The following is a 20,095-nucleotide window of genomic DNA, read 5'->3' on the forward strand; positions in this document are numbered from 1 at the left end:
GGACTACAGGCATACACCATCACACCTGAATAAATTTTTTGTTGTTGTTTTTTGTAGGGACGGAGTATCACTATATCACCCAGGCTAATTTTAGAACTCCTAGGCTTAAGCGATCCTCCTTCCTCAGCCTCCCAAAGTACTGGGATCGCAGGCGTGAGCCACCACACCTGACCCAGTTCTTTATCAGATATGTGTTTCACAAATATCAAATATTTTCTCCCAGTTTGTGGTTTGTCTTCTTATTCTCTTGAGTGATTTTTTTCTTTTTTTTTTTGAGATGGAGTTTTGCTTGTCGCCCCGGCTGGAGTGCAGTGACACGATCTCAGCTCACTGCAACCTCTGCCTCCCAGGTTCAAGTGACTCTCCTGCCTCAGACTCCCAAGTACCTGGGATTACAGGTGCCCGCCACCATGCCCGGCTAATTTTTGTATTTTTAGTAGAGACGGGGTTTCACCATGTTGGCCAGGCTGATCTTGAACTCCTGAACTCAGGTGATCCACTGCCTCGGCCTCCCCAAAGTGCTGGGATTACAGGTGTAAGCCACCACACCCGGCCAAGTGAATTGATTTTTGAGAAAAGTGCACAGGCAATTCAGTGGTGAAAAGACAGTATTTTCTTTCTCTTTCTTTTCTTAAGAGATAGGGGTCTCTCTCCATCACTCAGGCTGGAGCACAGTGGTGCAATCACAGCTCACTGCAGCCTCAACCTCCTGGGCTCAAGGGTTCCTCCTGCCTCAGCCTCTCTAGTAGCTGGAACTACAGGCGTGCACCACTGAGGATAATGTTTTCAACAAATGGGGCTAGAATAACTGGATATTCATAGACAAAAAAAAAAATTGATCCGTACCTCACACCATGTTAAAAAATTAACCCCAGCCAGGCACAGTGGCTCACACCTGCGATTCCAGCACTTTGGAAGGCCAAGGCAAGCGGATTACTTGAGCCCAGGAGTTTGAGACTAGCCTAGGCAACACAGTGAGATCCCATTTCTACAAAAAATACCAAAAAATTAGCATATGAAAAGACATTCAACTTCACTCATAAGAAAAATGATGCAGGCCGGGCACAGTGGTTCACACCTGTAGTCCCAGCATTTTGGGTGGGAGGCCGAGGCGAGTGGATCACTCAGTCAGGAGTTCGAGACCAGCCTGGCCAATATGGTGAAACCCTGTCTCTACTAAAAATACAAAAAAAATTAGCCGGGCATGGTGGTGTGCACCTGTAGTCCCAGCTACTTGGGAGGCTGAGGCAGGAGAATCACTCGAGCCTGGGAGGCGGAGGTTGCAGTGAGCCGAGATCGCACCACTGCACTCCAGCCTGGGTGACAAAGTGAGACTCCATCTCAAAAAAAAAAAAAAATGATTGAAACGACACTGAACCACCACTCACCCCTCAGACTGGCCAATTAAAAAGGCTCGGCTCTGTGGGGTTGCAAAATGGGACCACCCTGTGGAGGGAACGTGGCAATACCCAATGCAACCAATGTGCAATCACCCCGCAGCCCAGCACTACCACACCTAGGAATTCACCCTGAAGACACACCTCAAACAATATGAAAGTACAAACGCACTCAGTTATTCATGGCAGGGTTATCTGAATTTACAAAATATTGGAAATAACCTAACTGACCACAGAGAGGACAGCAGCTGAGGAAACTGTGGCTTATCATGTGGTAGAGTGCCAGCCAGTGAGAAATCCTTGCATCGACACCATGGTTTCCAGGAGAGAGTGTTAGGTGAAAAAAACGGTGGCTGGAAGCTCACACCTGTCATCCCAGCACTTTAGGAGGCCAAGGCAGGAGGATTGCTTGAAGCCTGGAGTTCAAGACCATCCTGGGCAACACAGCGAGACCCCATCTCTTCAAGAAAAATTTTTTAAAAATTAGCTGGGCTTGGTGGCACACACCTGTAGTCCCAGCTACTTGGGAGGCTGAGGTGGGAGGAAGGCTTAAGCCCAGGAGATGGAGGCTACAGTGAGCTATGTTTGCAACACTGTACTCCAGCTTGGGTGACAGAGCAAGACCCTGTCTCTAAAACAAAACAAGCCAAAGTGCAAAAGAGCCTACAAAGAATGCTCCGTCTAGGAAAGAGGGGAATATATGTGTAATGTTTATCTTTACAAAATTAAACACATGGGAGATAAACCAGGAGACAATTATGCTCATTACCAAAAAGCGAGGAGGAGGTACAGGAGGGAGTGGCTCCCTGCATCTGTCTTCAGGGGCAGTTTTGACATCTAGAAGGATGGTCACACTCTACAAACCTAACAGGATGGGGGTGTGGGGTATGGTGGGAGGCACAAGACTGAAAGCAAACGGGAAGGATGAACCCAGCTGTATTTCCAACGAAGGCACCACTACACTGACGGTGGAGAAGCCGACCCAAGGAACTCATGAGCACAGTGCTTGACGGCACCCGCAGTTGTGGGCAGGGAGTGAACTGCACACAATCCCGACCTCTTCATGGTGGGTTTGTTTTTGCAATCCTGTGGCAAAGCTGCACTGGAGCTCTCGAGCAGGCGTGCACTGGACTCCCTAGCAGATGCGTGAGGATGCTGCTGTTGCTGGGGGCCAGGGTCCTCAGGGTGGAGATGGGGGGTGGGGGAGAACCGTGCAAGGTGGGACGGAATCCAGGCACGGTTCTGTGCTGTTTCAGATCTGTACACACATATTACATATGTACGTGTGCAACTGCACGCAGCATGCCTGTCCTCCCTAGCCTGTCCACAGAAAGGGCCTAAAGCTCAGGCACCCCGTGGCATCGAGCACACCTCGTGTCTAGATCCCGGTCTCTAACGCTGTTCCCCACCAAAGGGAGCCAAGACCCACAGAGCAATGGCCGAGGCCAGAGGCCCAAGAGGACGCCCTGCCATGCCTGGTCATGAGGAGGTGCTCGAAGGAGAGGCACGGCACACAGGCAGAGCATGGCAGGGTTCCCGCCAGCAAATCTCGTACACTTTGAACACCAGGATAATTAAAGACAGGAGTGACTCACAGACCACTGAAGTCGGGAGGCAATCCACATGTGGCCAGCGATAAAAGAGAACAAACGAGCGTGGATAACCAGTGAATACCTGAGACACACAGGTGGATGGATGGGGGAGGGAGCCCATGTCTGTGGGATGCTGGGGCCAGGAAGCCTGCTCTCCAGCCCTCACCATCTGGCCTCTGTGGGAGTCAGGAAGTGTCTGCACAGATGTTCGCCAGACGCAATGGGAAAACCAGGAGGCATCAGGTGGAGAGGCAGCCCCAGGGCACCTGGGCAACAGCCACAAGCTCTCAAAGAGCACAGGAAGAAATCATGTCTTTATGCACACGTGTGTGCATGTGTGGTATGTATGCATGGTGTGTGCACGTGTGCATTGTGTGCATGATTGCATTGTGTGGTGTGTATGCATGGTGTGTGCACGTGTGCATTGTGTGTGCACGATTGCATTGTGTGGTGTGTATGCATGGTGTGTGCACCTGTGCATTGTGTGTGTGCATGCGTGGTGGGTATGTATGGTGTGTGCACGTGTGATCATGCATGTATGGTGTGTATGCATGGTGTGCGCATCTGTGCATTGTGTGTGGATGCATGTGTGGTGTGTATGCATGGTGTGCACGTGCATTGTGCATGCGTGGTGTATGCATGGTAATGTGCACGTGTGCACTGTGTGTGGTATGTATGCATGGTGTGTGCACGTGTGCACTGTGTGTATGCATGGTGTGTGCACGTGTGCACTGTGTGTGGTGTGTATTCATGGTGTGTGCACGTGTGCACTGTGTGTATGCATGGTAATGTGCACGCATGCACTGTGTGTATGCACGGTAATGTGCACGTGTGCACTGTGTGTGGTGTGTATGCATGGTGTGTGCACGTGTGCACTGTGTATGCATGGTAATGTGCACGCGTGCACTGTGTGTATGCATGGTAACGTACACGTGTGCACTGTGTGTGGTGTGCATGCATGGTGTGTGCACGTGTGCACTGTGTATGCATGGTAATGTGCACGTGTGCACTGTGTGTGGTGTGTATGCATGGTGTGTGCACGTGTGCACTGTGTGTGGTGTGTATGCATGGTGTGTGCACATGTGCACTGTGTGGTGTGTATGCATGGTGTGTGCACGTGTGCACTGTGTATGCATGGTGTGTGCATGTGTGCACTGTATGCATAGTGTGCACGTGTGCACTGTGTGTGGATGCATGGTAATGTGCACGTGTGCACTGTGTGTGGTGTGTATGCATGGTGTGTGCACGTGTGCACGGTGTGTGGTGTGTATGCATGGTGTGTGCACATGTGCACTGTGTATGCATGGTGTGTGCACGTGTGCACTGTGTATGCATGGTGTGTGCACGTGTGCACTGTGTGGTGTGTATGCATGGTGTGTGCACATGTGCACTGTGTATGCATGGTAATGTGCACGCGTGCACTGTGTGTATGCATGGTAATGTGCACGTGTGCACTGTGTGTGGTGTGTATGCATGGTGTGTGCACGTGTGCACTGTGTATGCATGGTAATGTGCACGTGTGCACTGTGTGGTGTGTATGCATGGTGTGTGCACGTGTGCACTGTGTATGCATAGTGTGTGCACGTGTGCACTGTGTGTGGATGCATGGTAATGTGCACGTGTGCACTGTGTGTGGTGTGTATGCATGGTGTGTGCACGTGTGCACGGTGTGTGGTGTGTATGCATGGTGTGTGCACGTGTGCACTGTGTATGCATAGTGTGTGCACGTGTGCACTGTGTGTGGATGCATGGTAATGTGCACGTGTGCACTGTGTGTGGTGTGTATGCATGGTGTGTGCACGTGTGCACGGTGTGTGGTGTGTATGCATGGTGTGTGCACGTGTGCACTGTGTGCATGCGTGTGTGGTGTGTGTGCATGTATGCATGGTGTGTGCATACGTGTGCAGCAGCACCTGGTCCCATCTCCAGTGCCCAGCAGCATCACACGCACTTTGGTGCTTTATAAATGCATGGTCAGTGAGGCTGACAGCACCAAGCTGTCCCTTTACCATAACACCTGGAATAGTCACCTGTGATAAGCTATCACATAGGAAACATTTTTAAAATTTCATTCTCATTATTTTCTGTAATCTTGAGAGGTTCCAATCAACATTTATTGCCTTATTCTTTTTATCTCATTCCTTTTTGAATGTGTTTATCTCCTAAGATTTTATCTGTGATGGAGATGGGATGCCTGTGAATACAAAAGTTGCAGTGGTGGCACCAGGGTGGGGGGGTGCGGCCGGGGCCACCATGGTCTCCCCTGAGAGGGGGTGCTGTCTTAGGTGCCCCAAGAGGCCCTCGGGCAGCAAGCGTGGGGTGCTGCCAAAATACAGCTCCCCCTGGGTGGGCAGGACACACGTGGCCTCCTGGCAGACAGGTGCCTGGGTGAGCCCGCTGCTCCTGATTAGTCATGAATGGCACCTGGTCTGGGCGACAGTCACCCGCAGGAAGCCCTGAGCTGGCCACCATCACCCTGGGCAGTGGCTCCCGGGGTGCCAACAAGACCTGGGCCCCTCGTTCTTTGGTGCTGAGAGCCCCAGCTGAGGCTGTGGAGGAGGCCCTGGACCTGGTCTGGTGTCTGTCAGAGGCAGGTGCCCAGTCCTTTGACTTGCTTCTCTGAATTGTCATAATTGTGCTGGAATTGTGCCAGAAACTGGTAGTGATAACAGCTCCTGGAAGGCCTGTGGCTGCTGAGGGCTGCCTGGTCCCCCTCAGGACGGCCGGGGGAGCCTCTCCAGAAGCACCAGCTTTGTCTGCAGGTGGACGTTGAAGGGGGGCAGTTGGGTCAGGTTCAGACTCACACCTGTGGTCCCCACGACGCTGGCCAGGACCCGGTGTGTGTCCCTGTAGAGGGCCAGGAGCCCAGGGGCCGCCTCCATGAGGATGTGTGTGTATGCCAGCATGCCTGTCCCCGGCTGCACATCCTCCCTCTTGTCGTACCTGTGGGATGAGAGCTGGTGGTCCTGCCCAGGGCCCCCACATCGCCCTGTCCCCCGCCCCCAAGGGGCCCTCACATGGCCTCTGGGAGGGCCGTGCTGTGTGTGGATCCTACCTCCAGGCGCTGTTGACTTGGAGAAACCGAGACACACCTGTCTGGGCGGCTGCCACGTCAATGTGCAGAAGGACGTCTAGGAAAACCAGGCCTGCCGTCAGAGCCCAGCCCTGCAGTCGGAGCCACAGCAGTCCCCAGGCAGTGCCCCCAGCACCCACCTGTCTGGGGGGGCACCAGCTGGTGCAGCCTCTGCATTGCGACGCCACCTGGGTAGTTGAAATGGGACACATACAGGGCCGTGGCTGAGTAGGCGGCATTCACCACGAGGTGTCCGATCACAAGCAGAGACCCCGCTTTGTACAGCCAAGACTTTTTATAGTTATTCAGCCTGAAAAAAGAATGGTTACACATCATAGGCAGAACGTAATGACAATAAAATTAATCTACCTACAAAACATACTAGGAGCATAACCTGCTGTTCAACTTCACCAAGTCATAACAAAGAGTTCACCACCAAATAAAACAGAGTCAGTAACCCGTAAAAGTGGTTAAGATACTGCCTCAAGAATTGTCTGTGAAATTCTACCCAAGATGCCAATTTAAAATTTAGATGAGATTTTAAAATATATATATATTTTTGAGACAGAGTCTCGCTGTGTCACCCAGGCTGGAGTGCAGTGCCATGATCTCGGCTCACTGCAACCTCCGCCTCCTGGGTTCAAGTGATTCTCCTGCCTCAGCCTCCCAAGTAGCTGGGACTACAGGTGCACGCCACCATGCCCATCTAATTTCTGTATTTTTAGTAGAGACAGGCTTTCACTATGTTGGCCAGGCTAGTCTTGAACTCCTGACCTCGTGATCTGCCCGCCTCAGCCTCCCAAAGTGCTGAGATTACAGGCATGAGCCACTGCGCCCAGCCTAAAAATATATTTTCAAACAATCCCAAGTGACTGTGTAGGTCAGAGTGCCACCCGCGCGGCCAAGCCCACTCCCAGCAGGTCTGAGTGAACTCTCTGGGACAGGGTGCCGCCGGTTCTCTCACAATCGACTATGCCAATCTCAGGATCCTACGGCAGAGTTAGCAGCTGCCACAGACAGTGTGGCCCACGAAGATGAGGCTCTTTATTAGCTGGTCCTTAACGGAAAAGCTTGCCAACCCTGGTCTAAACGCCCTGAACCCCCGATCAAGACTCACTCTCTTCCAAACCCACCAGGCTCCTCGGAGCCCTCTTCTCCACAGGCCCTGCCCTTTGCTATGGTTTGGATCTGCGTCCCCACCAAATCTCATGTCCAACTGTGATCCCCAATGCTGGAGGTGGGGCCTGGTGGGAGGTGACTGGGTCATGGAGGTGGAGCCCTCAGGAATGGATTAGCGCCATCCCCTCCATGCTGTTCTCCTCATACCGAGTGAGTTCTCGAGAGGTCTGCTTGTTTGAAAATGGGTGACACCTCCCCCGTCCCTCTTCGTCCTGCTTTGGCCACATAAAAGCGTGCCCGCTTCCCTCTCGCCTTCCGCCATAATGGAAAGTTTTCCCAGGCCAGCCTGGAAGCTGAGCAGACACCAGTACCACGCTTCCCGTACAGCCTGCGGAACCGCGAGCCAATGAAGCCTCCTCTTTATAAATTATCCAGTCTCAGGTGTTTCTTTACATCAGTGCGAGAGCAGACTAGTGCACCCTTGAACAATCTCTGGTGCGGTTTCTGAGCTCGAGGCCCCACCTAGGATGACCGCAGCCTCCTAAGTGCCTGCCCCAAAGAGCTCAGCACTGCCAGGGCGTTCGTCCTTTGTTCCCGCCCAAACCTGGAGTGGGCAGTCACTGTGGAAAGCTCGCAATCAGAAACCTTCCACCCCCAGGACTGTCTCAAGGCCCTGGGCCCTGACACCGTGGGAAACGGCCTGCTCTTGCTCCCAGGGTGGCCGGGCTGAGGACCTGACTTCGGAGGGGGCCTTGCTCTACCCTGCACCCCCTCATTTGGACTCCCCAAGTTTGTCCTCCTCCGGATAAGGCCGACTGGCACAGCAGGGGCCCTTGCATGGAGCAGCCCCTCACGCCCAGCACACCAGGCCTCAAAGACACAGAGCTGGGTCCAGTTCCCACTGGATCTTCTTCCCTGCTGGAAAAGCCTGTCACCGAATACAATCCATCCGCGCCGCTCTCCCCGTCTTTCCTACCCTCTTTTCCATGACTCTGGCTGGGGTCTGCTCCTCCTCCAGCCCTGAGCCGACCCCTGAGACGAGAGGGAGCCAAAGGCACAGAAAAGCAGAGGCAGAGCTCCCAGGAGCCCCCACTGAGGCGCGGCTACAGCAGCCAGAGGAGCCCCCAACCCAGGCACGGCCACGGCAGCCGGAGGAACCCCCAGCGAGGAACAGTCACGGCAGCCAGAGGAGCTCCCAGGCCCGAGGGCAGTGCGGGGCAGTCGGAGCTGGGGGGCACCATCCCCTCCCCTGTAACAAGTGGCACCGGAAAGCACCTGACCGCTGCCTGAGATCAGGGACCGCATTGTGGGGCTTCCTCTCCAGCCAGAGTGGGCACCTCTCAATGCCCCAGGCCGCGGCCCTCCTGGCCTGTAGCCCTGCCGCCCCTCAATGCCCAGCGTGGCCTGAGTTGGCCTCCTGTTCCCATCAAGGCAGCAAACTCTGAACGGGCACAGAGCTGGCCAGCCTCAGCCCTGGGTTCTTCCGCAGCACCCACAGGGCCAGCAGTGATGGACTCTCCTGGGCCTGAGCCCCGGGTCCTTCCCCAGCACCCACAGGGCCCGGCAGTGATGGACTCTCCTGGCTCCCTGAGGCTTGCAACACTGAGTGGCAGCCGCGCTCAGACCACCCCACCCTCAGCCCAGGCAGTGCCCTCCCCAGGCCCTGCCAGGCCCCCAGCTCCACCTCCATCACCTGCTGCCTGCAGTCCCTCCCCGCAGGAAGCCCCCTGCCCTCCACAGGACCTTGAGCCTGGGCCACGCTGGGCCCTCTGCACCCAGCCATAGGCACCTCCCTCACCATCCCCCTCTTCCAGCCAGATGACCCGCCTTGACAAACGCCCTCAAGCCCGAGGCCCTGTCAGGATGGCCACGAACGCCCTTCCTCTACCTGACCTGTCGCCCTCAGAGCCTCCCAGGCCTGGCTGCCCCTGCCCTCTGCCGCTGCTACCTATGTGAGTGTCACTCTCCCATGACAGAGACTGGGACCGCTGGTGCATCACCATATGTGGACCAGTCACCAAATTAACCCAAGACAGAGACCACCTGAGCAAAGCCCTCTGTCAGCACAATGCCAGGCCGGTCCCATCCCATGCAGCCCTCAGGGAGGAGAGAGGACTGGGGTCACCCTCCTTTGACATAAGCGCCTAGTTCAACACACCCTGTGTTTATCTTAAAAAACAGCCCTGGTGGCTCACACCTGCAATCCCAGCACTTCCAGAGGAGGAGGCAGGAGGATGGCTTAACCCCCTAGGAGTTGAGGGGTGCAGTAAGCCCCACTCCAGCTGGGCGACAGAGCAAGACCCTGTTTCAAAAATTAAACACACACATACATCCCCCCAACAGTAAATCAGTGAACCTGTTTCCAATGAAACTATAAAAATGCATGTCACAAAAAGAGCACTCACAGGTAGGAGCAGCCTCTGGCAGCCGTGATGTTGAGCATGGGGAAGGCATAGATGATGAAGCGTAGCTCCTTGTGTGGCAGGAGGGAGTAGAGTGCCATGAAGCCCAGTGCCAGCACCGTCGGCGCGTGCGTCCTTCTGTCTACCAAGCCCAGGGGGATGAAGAGCAGGCTGCAGCCCAGGCCGCGGGGCAGGGCTGAGTAGAAGTACCACAGCAGCGGGGAGGTCTGCGGGCTGGGTTAAGGAGGCCACGCACCTGTCCACGCATGAGCCCGTGGGCTAGGTGGCAGGGTCAAGGTGGAGAAGACGCTTGAAGACAGTTGTGCTGAGAGATGCAGCCTGGACCACGGCTCGTGTGCACAGACACCACTCAGGCCTCAGGCCCCTCCTAAAAGACAGAGCCCAGGCCACAGCTCGGGTGCACACATACCACTTGGGCGTCGGGCCCCCTCCAGGCAGGACCAAGGCAGCAAGGGCCACAGGACGTTCGGTCTCTGTACCCTTTTCTTCACTGTTAAAAACAGATGGTCGGCCGGGCGCAGTGGCTCATGTCTGTAATCCCAGCACTTCGGGAGGCCAAGGTGGGTAGATCACGAGGTAAAGAGATCGAGACCATCCTGGCCAACATGGTGAAACCCTGTCTCTACTACAAATACAAAAATTAGCTGGGCATGGTGGCATGTGCCTGTAATCCCAGCTACTCAGGAGGCTGAGGCAGGAGAATCACTTGAACCAGGGAGTTGGAGGTTGCAGTGAGCCGAGATCATGCCACTGTACTCCAACCTGGCGACAGAGTGAGACTCTGTCTCAAAAAAAAAAAAAAAAAAAACCAAAAAACAAAAAACAGACGGTCACGGGTGACACACATGTTGGGATTCGTTATGCTGTTCCATCTATGCGTGTATGTTTGACATAATTCCTAAGAAAGCACTTTTTAAATGCAGATTGTCCGGGCCGGGCGTGGTGGCTCACACCTGTAATCCCAGCACTTTGGGAGGCCAAGGCAGGTGGATCACCTGAGTTCAAGAGTTCAAGATCAGCCTGACCAACATGGTAAAACCCCACCTCTACTAAAAATACAAAAATTAGCCAGGTGTGGTGGCGTGCGCCTATAGTCCCAGCTACTCATGAGGCTGAGGCAGGAGAATTGCTTGAACCAGGGAGGTGGAGGTTGCAGTGAGCCAAGATCATACCACTGTACTCCAGCCTGGGCGACAGAGCGAGACTCAGTCTCAAAAAAAAAAAAAAAAAAGCAGATTGTCCGAGGAGCAGAGGAGAGGCTGGGGTAATCTGGGGCAGGGCTGTTTCCAGCCCTCAGGCTGTTTCCTGGCTGAGAGAGGGCAGCCAGGACCTCACCTCCCATGGCCAGCATTTCCCAGGAGCAAGTGGGAGGGAGGGGCTCCATCCTGACCCTGCAGCCACGCTGCAGAGAAGGGAGAAGCAGCTGCTTCCACTGCCCATGGAGGCCCAGGAGATGTGGCTGCAGGTCCCACCCATCGCCCTCCTGCACGGACACTGAAGGATACCCCCCAGTTGGAGCTTTTGTTCAGGACAGTGTTGTACCAAAGCACCTTTCCTTCCGGCCAAGTGAGCTGCCGCCAAAAATAAGAGTCCACAGCAACCGTCAGTCCTGACAAAATAAAATAGAGTTTCTTAGTCGCAAACACAGCCATCAGTAAACATCCCGCCACAATGCAGCCCCCATCACTACAGAAACTACAAGCTGCTTTCATATAAAAGAGGTTGGGCAGGGTGGGAAGATTGCTGGAGCCTAGGAGTTCAAGGTTGCAGTGGGCCATGATCATGCCACTGCACTCCATCCTGGGTGACAGAGCAAGACTATCTCTAAAACAAAAAAAGAAAAAAGACACCAACTGTGTCGAGGACACCACTGCCCAGAACCACCGCCTGGCGCAGGGACAAGCCGCCCTCCACTCTTGTGGCCTCCCCCAGCCCAAGGACAAGGGACAGACCAGTGAACAGGGGCTCCTAAGGCGCACGGTGGGTCCCCCTGGAGATCCCCGGGCAGGGGGCTTAGGATTGAAATGTTTTCAACACTGCTAAATTTAGGGTCATTTTATTTCATGGGGATGAAAACCTCCCAAATTTCTCTTGACCTTTGTAAAACAAGGCAAAACAAAATCCAGTTAGAAGCATCCCACAGTGACTGACTTACCTAAACAGAGGATCCCTGCCGGGACGGCGTGGCGAAGGGCTCTGACTACAGAAACCTTTCGGTTGCCCAAGGCCAGCAGCAGCAGGAGGCCCAGGAACAGGCACAGCTCCACCCTGAACACGATGATGGCGAAGGCTGACAGCCAGATGAAGCGGGCCCACTCGTGCCGCAGCCAGGCCGCGAGGGCCAGCAGGACTGCAAGACAGTGCGGGAGGGTGCTCGTCAAGACACAGGGCCCACCCGGCCCAGAAAACACCCGGGGAAGTGAAGGGTGATTCCTTTTCCTATTATAAAAGCCACACAAATATCCCAGAAAAGAAACTGCTCAGAGCCGCTCCCCGCACCTATGCTGTTGGCCAGGAAGTGTGTCCCAACCCAGCATGGAAAACAAAGAGCCTGGTTTCAGGTCACAGACCATCCTGAGGAACCCAGTGGGGAATGGCCATTACGGGGGAGGCACTGCCATCAGCTGCACAGCCCGACTCAGGGGAGCCCCTGCCCGGCACCATGGGTGTGCAGGCCCGGCCGGCAGCTACGTACCTACAGGCAGGGCCAGCACATTGGGCAGTGTCCGCGTGCAGTAGAACATCAGGTGGAACTGCATGGCCGTCACCCAGCAGAACATGGTGGCCACCATGGCCCCGAAGTGCCGTCTCACTTCCTTTTGTAACGTCCAGAGTCCAAAAATCACGCCGAGTCCAAGCACTCCTCTAACTAAACAAAGACAGTGACAGCACCTGAGCCTGCAGTGGAGGAGTATCCAGTGGGGCCCCCTACGTGGGTCCTTCTACACAGATCTTTCTATATGGAGTTTTCTATGCTGCTGCAATGCCAGCTGACGGCTACGTCAGGCAAAGCAGCCTTGAGGGCATCGTCTCCATGTTGAAAACAGACGACTGGACCCAGGCCCCCTGCGCTCCTGTCGGGAACTGAGGACCCTTGCGGGGGCTGCTCTCTGAAGCATGAGGGAGGACACACAACTTGGGGGTGCCACGAGCTGAGCCCTACACTAAACCAGAGACCCCACCGGGCTGTGGCATCTCCAGGGGAAATGTTTGCAAAGGCCGGGCTCAGACCTTGCTCTAACCAGCAGCCATGAGGAGGTGGGATGTGGCAGGAACACAGGCTCCCAGGCAGGAAGGGGGTCAGGACCCCTCTCCCCATTTGACAGCAGGAGCCACCTCTGGGCTGGTGGTCTGATGAGGAGGTGGTGAGGGGGCAGGTGTGCCCAGGACAGTACCCAGCCGACCACACATCCTCACCGTGGACCGGCCTGTCAGCCGCTGGCAAGAGACTGAAAACAGGAAGAAAAATGAACTTCTGGGTGGCTCTTGCTACCTTTCCAGAAGGCCAGAGGAACTTCGAAGCCATGTGAGAAGCAACTGGGTCCAGGCAGCTGTGGGGGCCAATGGGCAGAGATACCCAGGCACTGCCAAGGGGGCCACGGATGTCTGAGGGCTGGACCTGCTGTTCCCAGAATACCCCATGTGCATACCAGGCATTTTCTTTTCACTGATTGCTGGATTCGGACTGCAAATGTCTTTTTTTTTTTCTTTTTAAGGACAGAGTTTCCCTCTGTTGCTCAGGCTGGAGTGCAGTGGCATAATCTCGGCTCACTGCAACCTCTGCCTTCCGGGTTCAAGCAATTCTCCTACCTCAGCCTCCGGAGTAGCTGGGATTATAGGCGCATGCCAACACGCCCGGCTAATTTTTGTATTTTTAGTAGAGACAAGGTTTCCCATGTTGGCCAGGATGGTCTCAAACTCCTGACCTCAGGTGATCCCCCCGCCTCGGCCTCCCAAAGTGCTGGGATTACAGGCGTGAGCCACCATGCCCAGTCTGAATGTCTTAATAGGACATTTTTCACTGATACTCACAAGTGGGTCTGGCTCCAGCTGCTGTATTTTTGGTGCTGGAATTTCCCCCGGGCTTTTAAACAATTCACAGACCCCAGCAAAGCCCCGCTTCCCCTTTTCCCCATCAGGTCCATCCCCTGCGTCTCTTCTCTTGGTTTTCCATCTTCCCAAATGCCCAACAATCTCAACCCCGTGCCCAACAAGGGTAGCCTCGGCCTCACGATCAGCCTCGGCTGCGGGATCACCCTCGGCCCCGGGATCAGCCTCGGCCACGGGATCACCCTCGGCCCCGGGATCAGCCTCGGCCGCGGGATCAGCCTGGCCCCGGGATCACCCTCGGCCCCGGGATCACCCTCGGCCCCGGGATCAGCCTGGCCCCAGGATCACCCTCGGCCCCGGGATCACCCTCGGCCCCAGGATGACATGCTCTTCATCCAGAGAGGAAGGATTTTGGCCTGTGGCAGGGGCTGGGGGGGGCACTAGCAATTCCAGGTCACCTTAGTGGGATCAGGAAGGACACAGGGTGGGCTCCCGTTCACCAGCTGAAGCTGCAGCCCTCCAAGGTTCTGTCCAGCTGGAGTCCACCCAGCTCTGCCCAACCTCCCAACCTCTTGCTGCCAACCCTGGAATAAGCAGAAGCTTCCAAGGGAATGTGGACTCAGCCCCGGAATTGCCTGTGGACTTCCTTTCCCTGGCTCGTGGCCCCCCAACTCCTCCCCATTTGGGGCTTCCTGATGCCTCTACAGGACATGCACGGCTTGTCCAGCTGTCCCCGTGCCATGGTGGGTTTCCGTTCCCAATCTGCCCCTTCAAGAAGCAGAACTGCTCCTTCCCCAGGAACGTGCTACTTCTTAAAGCTCTCCACACAAGCTGGACTGACTCGCTGGAAGCATGTCTGGGTATTAAAAGCAATAAAAGCGTACTGAAATAAAAAAGTGGTGATTGCTGACTTCAAAAACTCAGGTTGTGTGACTGGGCGTGGTGGCTCATGCCTGTAATCCCAGCACTGTGGGAGGCTGAGGTGGGACAATCACTTGAGCCCAGGAGTTCAAAGCTGTAGTGAGCTATGATTGCACCACTGCACTTCAGCCTAGGTGACACAGCAAGGCCCTGTCTCAAAAAAGAAAAAAAAATCGGTTTTTAGAACAATATGTACAAAACGTTCTAATTTTTTTTTTTTAAAGTCCTCATGTGGGCACAGAGAAAGACCCAGGATTTGCACACAGGCCCTGCAGTGGTGGCCTCTGGGAATGTGAGGTTTCTGTTTGTAACATTCCCCAAGGCAAATGGTGCTGCTTCTGCAGGAATAAAGGCTGTTGACCCCATGGGGGCTTGCCAGGTGAGGCGGGAGCAGCAGGCTCAGGTGGCGAGAGCTGCCTCACAGGCAGTCGGCATTTCTCTTGTACCTGCCGTCACCCCTAATTTCACAGTCAAGAGTGTGGAGGCACAGAGGGGCTGACTCAGACGTCTTAGGCCTGACCTGAGCACCTGCTCTGAGCCGCCATGCCACGGTGATCGAGGGCAGGCAAGACTAACAGACAGCGTTCCTGGGCAGGAGGGACCGCGGCCTCGCTGAGGTCACCCGATGACACCACAGTCCCTCACTCCCTCCTCCTTTGTTGAAGACCCCCTTACCTATTAGCTGAGAGTAAAACTTGGACATTTCTAACAGCGAAAGCACGTAAACCGCGGGGCTGGAGAACACTGCGATCACCACTGGCCCGAGGAACGTCCTGGGGACGACTCCGGGGAACTCAAGATGGTCGTACTGCGAGGAGAAGGGCAGGTCAGTGCACCGGGGCCCTGCCAGCTGGTAACATGAGGTTTTCCCCAAAGACAGCAGGGGCCCCTCACCTGCTCCAGGTCTTGCCAGTGGTAGAGCAGGTCATGTGTGGCCTGCAGGTTGAAGCTCTCCTCCACTTTGGTGTAGGGACAGATGACCAGGTGGACAGTGGCTACGGCCACCAGCAGCCCCAGCAGCAGGGGCCGCCTGCCTGATGACCCCTTTCCAGCCATTCCAGGCTTTCAGCTTCACGTACCTTCACAGGCCAACAGTGCGAGACACCAGCCGTTAGCACTGCCACTCCACGCATGCTGGAAAAGTGGAAACAGATTCCTGAGGTTCGAAAGTCACGCTTGCGCTCACGTTTGGGAGATCCGGGTAAAGGGTTAGCAGAATTCTCTGAACTACTGTCTTAGTCGCACTACTACAAATCTGAAAACGCATCAAGATGGAAAGTTTGGAGAAAAAATCACACTTGAGAATCTTTCATACTGTAACCAGTGATCTGACACTTCCAGCTCTGTGAATGTTTTTCTAGGCAGAAGGATCTCAGTCGCAGAACCCTGAGTCTGACCAGGCCTGGGCCACGAGGGCAATGGAGGGTGGTAAATGGCCCCTGCCCCCCAGTCTAAATCTGGCAGGAGAGTCAGCAAAACCCAGGCTTGGCCCCGAGGGAACCGGCTGAAGAAGACGGAATGGGAGGCTGAGGGGTGCCAGTTAGCTGGGTGGGAGGCACCAAGCTGGAGAGTGGTGGACAGGGGCCCCGGGAGGGCAAGAAACTGAACGTAGTACAGCTGCTGGGACACAGGGCTCGAGTGGCCAGCAAAGCCCCCGCTCCCAGGAATGGTGGGATGGGGCTGTGGACGCCTGCGCCGAACCCCACCCTGGGGGCTGGGAGAAGCCATGGCCGGCTTTCCCAAAGGTGGCACCACACTGGCCATGAGCCTGCATGTGAGCCTGGGAAGACTGGCAATGGGTCCCCCAAACACTAACAGGACAACCTCAGGGGCCCGTGGCACGGAGCTTCCTGAGAGGCCAGCAACATGTCCAGCTGCTACACGTGAGAGACCAAGGGAGGGGAGGGGGCAAACTCTTCACGTTTCTGGCTTCTTTTAAAACAGATTTGATTTTATTCAATCCAAACCAGAAGGGCCAGAAGCAAAGGGAGAGAGAACCCCAGGGCTTACCATTTATTAAAACTACTTTAAAAATTTTTTTTAAGAGACAGCGTCTTACTCTGTCACCCAAGCTGGAGTGCAGTGGAGTGATCATGGCTCACTGCAGCCTCAAACTCCTGGGATCCTTTTGCCTGAGCCTCCTGAGTAGCCGCAGCTACAGGTGTGGGTCACCACACTCAGCTAAGTTTTCTTATTTTTTGTAAAGACAGGGTCTTGCTTTGTAGCCCAGGCTGGTATGGAATTCCTGGCTTCAAGCCATCTTCCTACCTTGGCCTCCTGAAGTATTGGGATTACAGGCGTGGGCCACCATGCCCAGCCAAAACTATCTTTTGATCAAACGGAGAGTTAAGAAGTATACAAAGATGGCAACCAAAGGAAAATCTGTAGATTAGAAGGAAGGAGAACCCTATTTGATATGGTGGGCAGGGGGTGGAGAGAAAGAAAAAAGAAAGCTTTAATAATTTTACGACTGAAATGGTATGCAGTTCTCTCCTTTGCCAAATATAAAAACCTGGGGCCGGGCGCGGTCGCTCATTCCCGTAATCCCAGCTCTTTGGGAGGCTGAGGGCCAGGTGCGGTGGCTCATTCCCATAATCCCAGCTCTTCGGGAGGCTGAGGTGGGTGGATCACGAGGTCAGCAGATCAAGACCATCCTGGCCAACATGGTGAAACCCTGTCTCTACTAAAAATACAAAAATTAGCTGGGCATGGTAGTGCACGCCTATAATCCCAGCTACTCGGGAGGCTAAGGCAGGAGAATCGCTTGAGCCCAGGAGGCAGAGGCCGCAGTGAGCCGAGATCACACCACTGAAATCCAGTCTGGGCCACAGAGCGTGACTCCGTCTCAGAAATAAATAAATAGATAATAAAAAAATTTAAAAAAATAAACTTGGTATCAAACAAAGAGAAAGGTCGAAGGACTAGGTTAGGAATCACTAACTGAGGGAGGGCCCACTCAGCTGTCTCCCACTTGCTAAGACACAAGCTTTTTGACGGTGGGGGGTTTTTGATGCTGGATGATTTTTCCCACCAGCGCAGCCTCAGCACCAAGGACAGAGGCCAGCCGCTGTGGCCTGAAGGCTGCCTCGCTGCCACCTCCCCTGCTGGACTCATCCTGCGGGCAGGGCTTGCTTGGTGGACTCACTGCTGAATCAGCAAAGCCTGCCGCACAGTAGGCACTCAACAAGGCTGCCGAAGAAGAAATCGGTAAAAACTCCTACATGGGGTTCTCATCACACCAGCTCACGTGCTTATTAAAAATTCCAGCAGCCGGGAGCGGTGGCTCATTCCTGTAATCCCAGCACTTTGGGAGGCTGAGGCGGGTGGATCACAAGGTCAAGAGATCGAGACCAGCTTGGCCAACATGGTAAAACCCCGTCTCTACTAAAAATACAAAAAAATTAGCTGGAGTGGTGGCGAGTAGTCCCAGCTACTTGGGAGGCTGAGGCAGGAGAATGGTGTGAACCCAGGAGGTGGAGCTTGCAGTGAGCCGAGATCGCGCCACTGCACTCCTGCCTGGGCGACAGAGCAAGACTCCATCTCAAAAATAAATAAATAAATTAATTAAATTAAATAAAAATATGTTCCAACGGCCGGGCGTGGTGGCTCATGCCTGTAATCCCAGCACTTTGGGAGGCTGAGGTGGGTGGATCACAAGGTCAGGAATTCAAGACCAGCCTAGCCAGCATGGTGAAACCTCATCTCTACTAAAAATACAAAAATTAGCTGGGCATGGTGGTGTGCGCCTGTAATCCCAACTACTTGGAAGGCAGAGGAGGAGAATTGCTTGAACTCGGGAGGCAGAGGTTGCAGCAAGCCAAGATCGCACCACTGTACTCCAGCCTGGACAACAGAGCCAGACTCCGTCTCAAAAAAAAAGAAATAGGAAGCAAGCCGGATGTGTTGGCTCACGCCTGTAATTCCAGCTACTCAGGAGTTCAAGACCAACCTGGGCTACAGAGCCAGACCCCATCTCCACAAAAATAATCCCAGCTACTCAGGAAGCTGACATGGGGGGTACTGCTTGAGGCCCGGAGTTCAAGACCAACTTGGGCTACATCATGAGACCCCATTTCTACAAAAATAAAAAATAAAACGGAACGGGGAGCATCTACGTGCCAAGATGTGGGAGGTGCACACAGCAAGTGCTGCTTGGCAGTCCCCCACAACCCCACTCCACACCTCTCCACCCAGGGGAGTTCCCCAGCAAGGAAGAGTTCAGCTGTGGGGTGAAAACATTACGTGCTGACTCTGACACTCCTGGCGGGCCCCCAGCACCTCCTCGGACCCAACAAGGTGTGCCTTCTGCTGATGACCAGCACAGCTCACTTTCGAGGGCATGAGAAGACCAAGGGTGAGTCTGGATTCTCTGCCAGGAGCACGGGAAGACCAAGTCAACACCAGCAAGCACGAAAACCACGACGAACCCCCCACCAGGCGAGGGTGAACGGACACTGTCCTGCACTAGCCCACTCTGCTGGGCAGCTGGGCAGCAGCTGTGGCTAATCTAAGTGACGGGTGCTTCGAGAGCACCCACAGGTTAAAACGGGCCCAGGCCATGACACTTTAAAATGGTGGTTTACAGAACAATGGCATCTCAGATTAGGGAATGACCTGCAAAGACCCTCTTGTCCCCATCAATCCAGATTTTAAGGCCTCTACCGAAATTGATCAAATCAGGCTAAGCATGGTGGCTCACGCCTGTAACCCTAGCACTTTGGGAGGCTGAGGCAGGCAGATCGCTTGAGGTCAGGACTTCGAGACCAGCCTGGCCAACATGGTGAAACCCCGTCTCTACTAAAAATACAAAAATTAGCCGGACCTGGTGGTGGGTGCCTGTAATCCCAACTTAGGAGGCTGAGGCAGCAGAATCACAGGAACCTGGAAGGCGGAGCTTGCAGTGAGCTGAGATCGCGCCACTGCACTCCAGCCTGGGCGACAAAGTGAGACTCCGTCTCAAAAAAACAGAAAAGAAACTGGTCAAATCAGATGTTACTTTTTTTTTTTTTAAATGTGCAGTGTTATCTGCACTCCTTCCTTCCACAGGCAGGAGTTCTCTGAAATCCAGACGCTGCACGTTTTATTTCCCCTAATTTAAACCAGGGGTTCCTGAACATGAGCGAGTGTTCATCACCTCAAGCGCCTGTAGAAATGCAGATCCCCAGCCCCCAGAGACCCTAAGTGGACCCCAGATCCCCAGCCCCCAGGTGAAAAACCCATCCCCCAGGTGGGAGGTCCGGCCCCAGGTGAGGAGCCCGGCCCCAGGTGAGAGGTCCAGCCCCAGGTGAGAGGTCGGGCCCCCGGATGAGAGGTCCGGCCCCCGGGTGAGAGGTCTGGCCCCCAGGTGACAGGTCCAGCCCCAGGTGAGGAGCCCGGCCCCAAGTGAGGGGTGCAGCCCCAGGTAAGGAGCACGGGGCTGTGACGCGTGGACATGCGCGGTGAGGCCTCAGGAATCCAGCGCCAGCGCCAGCTCGGGTCGCGCCCTCGCCCGCCTCCTCCCTGGTCTCGCCGCGCGCCCGC

General features: G+C 54.8%; 1 protein-coding gene across 3 annotated transcripts in view, besides 4 other annotated features; it reads right to left on the minus strand.

Moving 5' to 3' along the window:
- ALG12 (ALG12 alpha-1,6-mannosyltransferase) overlaps nt 1–20,095 on the minus strand; it is a 59,128-nt gene that overhangs the window by 38,824 nt on the left and 209 nt on the right. For 2 of the 3 annotated variants that reach the window (XM_017028936.2, XM_017028937.2), the window contains exons 2-9: nt 15,470–15,709; nt 15,251–15,383; nt 12,300–12,473; nt 11,760–11,954; nt 11,110–11,213; nt 9,587–9,810; nt 6,203–6,372; nt 6,045–6,120 (exon numbers count right to left, since the gene is read on the minus strand). In XM_017028936.2, coding sequence (XP_016884425.1) covers nt 6,045–6,120; nt 6,203–6,372; nt 9,587–9,810; nt 11,110–11,213; nt 11,760–11,954; nt 12,300–12,473; nt 15,251–15,383; nt 15,470–15,631 — 1,238 coding nt within the window. In that variant the 5' untranslated portion in view covers nt 15,632–15,709. Of the gene's footprint in view, nt 1–2,094; nt 5,933–6,044; nt 6,121–6,202; nt 6,373–9,586; nt 9,811–11,109; nt 11,214–11,759; nt 11,955–12,299; nt 12,474–15,250; nt 15,384–15,469; nt 15,710–20,095 lie in introns of those variants that run through there. The other variant, NM_024105.4, reaches the window with a different exon arrangement.
- Nucleotides 2,322–3,042: an enhancer, noted in NCBI's record as "H3K4me1 hESC enhancer chr22:50294104-50294824 (GRCh37/hg19 assembly coordinates)". NCBI's record gives its function as "activates a minimal SCP1, AML or CMV promoter by ChIP-STARR-seq in primed H9 embryonic stem cells {active_cell/tissue: H9 hESC(primed)}" and the evidence as "EXISTENCE:reporter gene assay evidence [ECO:0000049][PMID:30033119]".
- Nucleotides 3,043–3,762: an enhancer, noted in NCBI's record as "H3K4me1 hESC enhancer chr22:50294825-50295544 (GRCh37/hg19 assembly coordinates)". NCBI's record gives its function as "activates a minimal SCP1, AML or CMV promoter by ChIP-STARR-seq in naive H9 embryonic stem cells {active_cell/tissue: H9 hESC(naive)}" and the evidence as "EXISTENCE:reporter gene assay evidence [ECO:0000049][PMID:30033119]".
- Nucleotides 3,763–4,482: an enhancer, noted in NCBI's record as "H3K4me1 hESC enhancer chr22:50295545-50296264 (GRCh37/hg19 assembly coordinates)". NCBI's record gives its function as "activates a minimal SCP1, AML or CMV promoter by ChIP-STARR-seq in naive H9 embryonic stem cells {active_cell/tissue: H9 hESC(naive)}" and the evidence as "EXISTENCE:reporter gene assay evidence [ECO:0000049][PMID:30033119]".
- Nucleotides 19,894–20,093: a silencer, noted in NCBI's record as "silent region_13928". NCBI's record gives its function as "represses an Ori minimal core promoter by ATAC-STARR-seq in GM12878 lymphoblastoid cells {active_cell/tissue: GM12878}" and the evidence as "EXISTENCE:reporter gene assay evidence [ECO:0000049][PMID:35858748]".

The sequence above is a fragment of the Homo sapiens genome, chromosome 22 (genome assembly GCF_000001405.40).
Source record: "Homo sapiens chromosome 22, GRCh38.p14 Primary Assembly".
NCBI lineage: Eukaryota > Metazoa > Chordata > Mammalia > Primates > Hominidae > Homo > Homo sapiens.